The sequence below is a fragment of the Homo sapiens genome, chromosome 2 (assembly GCF_000001405.40).
Source record: "Homo sapiens chromosome 2, GRCh38.p14 Primary Assembly".
NCBI lineage: Eukaryota > Metazoa > Chordata > Mammalia > Primates > Hominidae > Homo > Homo sapiens.
Window position 1 is genome coordinate 163906407 of NC_000002.12, and position 7127 is coordinate 163913533.

The window sequence follows — 7127 nt, forward strand, 5'->3', positions numbered from 1 at the left end:
AAAGAAAATATAAAAATGGCCACTAGTCACATAAAAAGATGCCCCTCATAATTAGTCATTAGAGAAATGCAAATCAAAACTGCAGTGAGATACCACTTGACACATGCTAAAATGGCTGTAATAAAAAAGACAGATAATAAGAAGTATTATAAAGAAATTGCATGCTTCACACATTGCTGGTAGTAGCGTAAAATTGTGCAATCACTTTGTAAAACAGTCTGGCAGTTCCTCAAAAGATTAAAAGAGAGTTACCATATGACCCAACAATTCCACTCCAGTCTTTATTCTACACCTAAGAAAAATATAAAAACATTGTCCCCAAAAATCTTGTACATGAAAGTTTGTATCTACATTATTTATAGAAGCCAAAGTGGAAAAAACCCAAATGTTCAACAACTGATGAATGAGTGAACAAAATGTCATATATCTATATAATGTCATATATCTATATAATATTATTTATCAGTAAGAATTATTTGGTAAAAATATTATTTGGCAATAATACATTCTACAACATGAATAAACCCTGAAAATATTATCTTACGTGAAAGAAGCCAGACACAAAAGACCACATATCCTATGATTCCATTTTAATAAAATATCCAGAATAGGTGACTCCATAGAGAAACAAGAATAGTGGTTTCCAGAGCCTGCAGGAGAAGGGGAATAGGGAGTGACTGCTAATGGATATAGAGCTTCTTTTGGAGGGATGAATTTTTCTAGAATTTGATAGTGAGGATGAATGCACATTTCGTGGATATACGAAGAACCACTGAACTGTACACTTTATAAATGTCAATTTTGTGGTATGTAGATTATAACTCAATACAGTTAGTATTTAACAAAAAACAATGGGGGTATAACAGCTGGCCCCTTAGCACAAATCAGGGTAGTAGTGGTAGTGGTACTGAACTCTGTACTTGCAGTCACTGTATTCTATATGCCACTCACTCACAGTAAGAAAATAGAAGTCAGGCTGGGCGTGGTGGCTCATGCCTGTAATCCCAGCACTTTGGGAGGCTGAGGTGGGCGGATCACCTGAGGTCAGGAGTTCAAGACCAGCCTGGCCAACATGGCGAAACCCCGTCTCTACTAAAAATACAAAAAAGTTAGCTGGGTGTGGTGGCAGGTGCCTGTAGTCCCAGCTACTCGGTAGACTGAGGCAGGAGAATCACTTGAACTGGGAGGTGGAGGTTGCAGTGAGCCGAGATCACGCCATTGCACTCCTGCCTGGGCAACAAGAGTGAAACTCCGTCTCCAAAAAAAAAAAAAAAAGAAAATAGAAGTTAGCCAATTTCACTTAAGAATATCTTTGATGAAACATTAAAAATTATTATTTTTGCTGGGCGCGGTGGCTCACGCCTGTAATCCCAGCACTTTGGGAGGCCAAGGCGGGTGGATCGTGAGGTCAGGAGATCCAGACCATCCTGGCTAACACGGTGAAACCCCGTCTCATCTAAAAATATAAAAAATTAGCTGGGCGTGCTGGTGGGCGCCTGTAGTCCCAGCTACTCGGGAGGCTGAAGCAGGAGAATGGCGTGAACTGGAAGGCGTAGCTTGCAGTGAGCTGAGATCACGCCACTGCGCTCCAGCCTGGGCAACAGAGCGAGACTCCGTCTCAAAAAAAAAAAAAAAAAAACTATTATTTTTATTAACTCTCCATCCTGAGTACATATCTTTTTAATATTCTGTTTTATAAAATGGGAAGTATGCATAAAGTAGAGTGTGATGATTGTCACTAGGAAATGTTCTCTTGAGATTGTTTGAGTTGAAAGCTAAACTAGCCACTTTTTTAAGGAAAATAAGTTTTACTTAAAAAAAAAGATTGACAGGAAAAACTATGGTTGTTCAGCTTTGGATATTTGGATATTTGGTGGACATTCTGTCAAGAATTAATGAAGTGAGCCTGTCACTTTAAGGAAAAGAACTGACAGTATTTGTTGTCAGTGATAAAATTTGAGATTTTAAGTGAAAATAGAATTTGTGGAAGCTTGTATCCTCCACTGTAAACTTAAAAGCTTCCCAATACGTAAGGACTTTCCTGATGAGATTGTTAGTGATAATAATAAATGCAATTTTTGATTCTGTATAATGAAATATATCATTGAAAAACTCACACAAGTCAATATTTTACAAATGACTAGTGTGGGGTGTTATAAAATTTTGCATTTATTAAAGTTCCATTCAAAATACCGGAAAGATTTATGTATTTAAATGTGACAACATTAGATACGGATTCAAACTGCACATTGTAACTAAGCTTTCAAAAACTACCCTTTGTCAATTTTGGTGAGTTATCAAAGAAGAACATTCATAATTATTTGGAGAGGCTATTAAATTTTTTTCCATTTACCAACACATTTTTATGTGGGGCCAGATTTTATTCATATACTTCAACCAAAATGACATATTTGCCATAGATTAGATGAAGATGGAGATTTGAGATTGTCTTCTAATAAGACAAATAATAAGTTAAAACGTAAATATTGTCACTCTTCTCACTATTTTTGTTTTGAAAAATATATTTCTTTTACAAAATTACTTATCCAAACATGTTTGGGTTATTCCAATTAATTAATAAAATAATTTAAAAAACATCTGCTTTAACTTCACATACGGTAAATCTCAATAGATATAATCCATGTTTAAAAGGCTCTTTGTGGGCCTCAGTAATTCTTAAGAGTGTAAAGGGATCCTAAAGCTAAAAAATTTGAAAACCACTGGACTGAATAATATAAAGAAAGGATATAGAGTTGATAAAAAGAAGAAATTTTTGATATAATTGGATACTTTGAGCATCAATAGTTCATGCATCAGAGTTAGAAAACTAATTCTGCACAATTTTATGAGGTGGCTATTATCTTTTTTTGCACATATGAATATTGAGATGCTGAGAGTTTAAGTAAGCGACTCAATGTCACACAGCTAGTAAGTATTGAGAGGTGACAGCGTGCTGGCAGCCCTGGCAGCCCTCACTTGCTCTCCGTGCCTCCTCAGCCTTGGCACCCACTCTGGCCGCGCTTGAGCCCTTCAGCCCGTGGCTGCACTGTGGGAGCCCCTTTCTGGGCTGGCCAAGGCCAGGGCCGGCTCCCTCAGCTTGCGGGGAGGTGTGGAGGGAGAGGCACGGGCGGGAACTGGGGCTGTGTGTGGGGCTTGCGGGACAGCTACAGTTCCGGGTGGGCGTGGGCTTGGCGGGCACCGCACTCGGAGCGGCCTGCCGGCCCTACCGGCCCCGGGCAGTGAGGGGCTTAGCACCCAGGCCAGCAGTTGCAGAAGGTGCGCCGGGTCCCCCAGCAGTGCTGGCCCGCCTGCGCTGTGTTCGATTTCTCGCCGGGCCTTAGCTGCCTCCCCGCGGGGCAGCGCTTGGGACCTGCAGCCCGCCATGCCTGAGCCTTCCCCGCCACCATGGGCTCCTGCGTGCCACCCGAGCCTTGCCGACGAGTGCTGCCCCCTGCTCCATGGCGCCCGGTCCCATCGACAGCCCAAAGGCTGAGGAGTGCGGGCGCATGGGTGCGGGACTGGCAGGGAGCTCCACTTGTGGCCCCAGTGCGGGATCCAATGGGTGAAGCCAGCTGGGCTCCTGAGTCTGGTGGGGACTTGGAGAATCTTTAGGTCTAGCTAAGGGATTGTAAATACACCAATCAGCACCCTGTTGTCTAGCTCAGGGTTTGTGGATGCACCAATGGGCACTCTGTATCCAGTTAATCTGGTGGGGACTTGGAGAATCTTTATGTCTAGCTAAAGGATTGTGAATACACCAATTGGCACTCTGTATCTAGCTCAAGATTTGTAAATGCACCAATCAGCACTCTGCCTAGCTCAAGGTTTGTAAATGTACCAATCTGTGCTCTGTGTCTAGCTGATCTGGTGGGGACTTGGAGAACATTTATGTCTAGCTAAGGGATTGTGAATACACCAATGGGCACTCTGTATCTAGCTCAAGGTTTGTAAATACACCAATCAACACTCTGTATCTAGCTAATCTAGTGGGGATGTGGAGAACTTTTGTGTCTAGCTCAGGGATTGTAAATGCACCATTCAGCACCCTGTCAAAACAGACCAATCAGCTCTCTGTAAAACAGACCAATCGGCTCTCTGTAAAATGGACCAATCAGCAGGATGTGGGTGGGGCCAGATAAGAGAATAAAAGCAGGGTGCCTGAGCCAGCAGTGGCAACCCGCTGGGGTCCCCTTCCACACTGTGGAAGCTTTGTTCTTTCCCTCTTTGCAATAAATCTTGCTACTGCTTACTTTTTGGGTTCACACTGCCTTTGTGAGCTGTAACACTCACGGTGAAGGTCTGCAGCTTCACTCCTGAAGCCAGCGAAACCATGAACCCACCAGAAGGAAGAAACTCCAGACACATCCAAACATCAGAAGGAACAAACTCTGGACATGCCACGCCACCTTTAAGAACTGTAACACTCACCGCAAGTGTCTGCGGCTTCATTCTTGAAGTCAGTGAGACCAAGAACCCACCAATTCTGGACACAGTATCAGAGGCATATTTGAACCTAAATATTAGTTTGGCTTCACAATTTGTGCCATCTCATTTTAAAGCGGCAAAACGTAACTATGAGAATGCTGACCACACTGTCAGGTGCCACAGGACGCAGCCTTTTACGTGCCTCCTATGTATTCAGAACCATCCTGGGCATTTGTCACACTTTATCTCAGTAATCTACAAAACACTTTGCAAAACTGATATTATACATCTCACTTTGCAAATTAGAAAATGGAGACTTACAGACATTCAAATCATTTGCTCAAAGTAACAGCTGTTTAAGCACCAGATGACTTCAGTTGAGGGTTCAGTACTCTAATTTTTAAACCATATCTTAGCACTTTCCTTTATAACTCCAAAGATAGCTATTTCCAGTATTTTATCAGAATATAGCTTTAAAATAAACCAAATGTCAAAATACTGGTATTCAAAACATCCTATTACCAGGAAATCACTATTATTAAATATAAATAAATAATTCTCTATGGCCTATGTAAAATCTTACAATGATCTATCTATCCATCTCTGCCATCTCTGCATATATTAAAAAAAACTTAGAAGATATATATATATTTTAAAAAACTTAGAATCAGGACTTCTACAGATTGTTTCTCCTTCCTTCTCCTCCTCCTCCTCTCCTTCTCCTTCTTTTTCTTTTCTAGACCTTTCCTTTACATTATTAAGTCTAGTGGTTTTGAAACCAACCCAATAGTCTTATAGGTAGTTTTGTTTTTTGTATAAATATAGAGATCATCCTTTCTGGTCTTAAAGCTTGAAACTTATATTTGTTTTATCTGAGTTCCTTCCATTCCTAGGCTTCTCAAAAACTACCAAAGAACTGAAACTGACCAGATCATGGCATCCATAAAATGAAACACCAGGCCCCTCATTCATCATGATTGCTTCCTTAGGCTGCCAGAGTTCCTGTTTTCCTTACATTGTTAGATTTCTTCCCTGCTAAATAAACCCCTAATTTATTCAGTCAGGGAGATGGATTTGAGACTGAGCTCCCATTTCCTCAGCTGTAGCACCTGATTAAATCCTTCTTCCTTGGCAATACTCATGGTCTGGAATACTCCTCATCTCAGTCATTGGCCTGCTGTGTGGTGAGCAGCAGGACCTAAACCAAAGTCCTGGTGTTTCAGTAAGTTTTCAAATTTTTTGGCTTTAGAATCCCTTTACACTCTTAAGAATTTCTGAGGATCACAAAGATATTTTTAAAATGGATTGTCTACTGAAATTTACTGTATTTGAAATTAAAGCAGATATTTTTAAAATTTCTATTAATTGGAAAAAGTAAATGATATGAGAAGGGGGCAGGGAAATGCTGGGTAGAGAAGGGCGGGGTCCCTGGAGAGAGCTCCACCTTCAGGCCTGTGCCCACGGACCTAAGTGAGGACAGGCACTCCTGTTTTTGCGCCCAAATGCTGCATTTTCCAAGACAATTCTGGCCCGCCATGCCCCTCCCCCACCCCCCACCCTTAATTCTGTGCCTTCCCCAACAGTCTATTAGGCACACACACAAGTAGCTGGATATTGAGAGGTACACACCAGCAGAAGAACACAACGACAGACGCTGGCAGGCCATCGATGGTGGAACAACACAGACACAGGGAAATTTAGCCAAGGGCAGTTGGAGGAGAACCCAGCCACTGAGGGGCCTGATTCCAGGAAGACCATCTTTCCACTCCATCCCTCTTCTGGCTCCCCATCCATCAGCTTAGAGCTACTTTCACCACTCAGTAAAACCTTGTACTCATTCATTCTCTAAGCCCATGTGTGATCTGATTTTTCTTGTAGACTAGGGCAAAAGCCCCAGATACAGAAAGCTCTCTGTCCTTGTGATAAGGCAGAGGGTCTAATTGGCTGATTAACACAAACCACCTGCAGACAGCTAAGCTAAAAGAGCACACTGTAACACAAACCTGCTGGGGATTCTGGAGCTGTAAACACTCAACCCTAGACAGTGCCGTGGGGTCAGGGCCCCAAAATCACTCCCCATGACCTGCTTGTCTGCATCATGCTCCCCCTAGGGATTTGAACAGCGGGGCACCGAAGAAGCAAGCCACACTCCCTGTCACACACCCTGCGAGGGGTATATGGGAAAACTCCTCCGGTTTCATAATGAAACCCAAAACATATTTGGATAAGTAATTTTGAAAAGGAAATATATTTTCCAAAACAAAAAACAGTGAGATGAGTGACAGCATTTACATTTGTATGTACATATATATGTAAATATGTATAATATACATTTATATATGATATATATAATTAAAGCTAGAAGTAAACACCAAAACATGAACTTTTGTAATATTAACAGATAACATTTTTGATATCTTCAAATACTTACAAGCTTTATCAATAATATTAATGAGTCGTTTGTTGATACTGAAATGTGGATGAGGACAAAACCCCAAAGTTATTGGAAAGAGTTTGAGAGTTATAATAATCTTACTTTTATAACATTTGGAGTTATGGTTAACTTTTTCTTCATTCAAAATGAGCTACCGATAATATTGAGAGGTGACAGCCTGCTGGCAGTCCTCACAGACCTCGCTCGCTCTAGGCGCCTCCTCTTCCTGGACCCCCACTTTGGCGGCACTTGAGGAGCCCTTCAGCCC

At 41.7% G+C, this 7127-nt stretch overlaps 2 annotated features.

The window, feature by feature from the left end:
* Nucleotides 2806-3324: an enhancer, noted in NCBI's record as "H3K27ac-H3K4me1 hESC enhancer chr2:164765722-164766240 (GRCh37/hg19 assembly coordinates)". NCBI's record gives its function as "activates a minimal SCP1, AML or CMV promoter by ChIP-STARR-seq in primed H9 embryonic stem cells {active_cell/tissue: H9 hESC(primed)}" and the evidence as "EXISTENCE:reporter gene assay evidence [ECO:0000049][PMID:30033119]".
* Nucleotides 3325-3842: an enhancer, noted in NCBI's record as "H3K27ac-H3K4me1 hESC enhancer chr2:164766241-164766758 (GRCh37/hg19 assembly coordinates)". NCBI's record gives its function as "activates a minimal SCP1, AML or CMV promoter by ChIP-STARR-seq in primed H9 embryonic stem cells {active_cell/tissue: H9 hESC(primed)}" and the evidence as "EXISTENCE:reporter gene assay evidence [ECO:0000049][PMID:30033119]".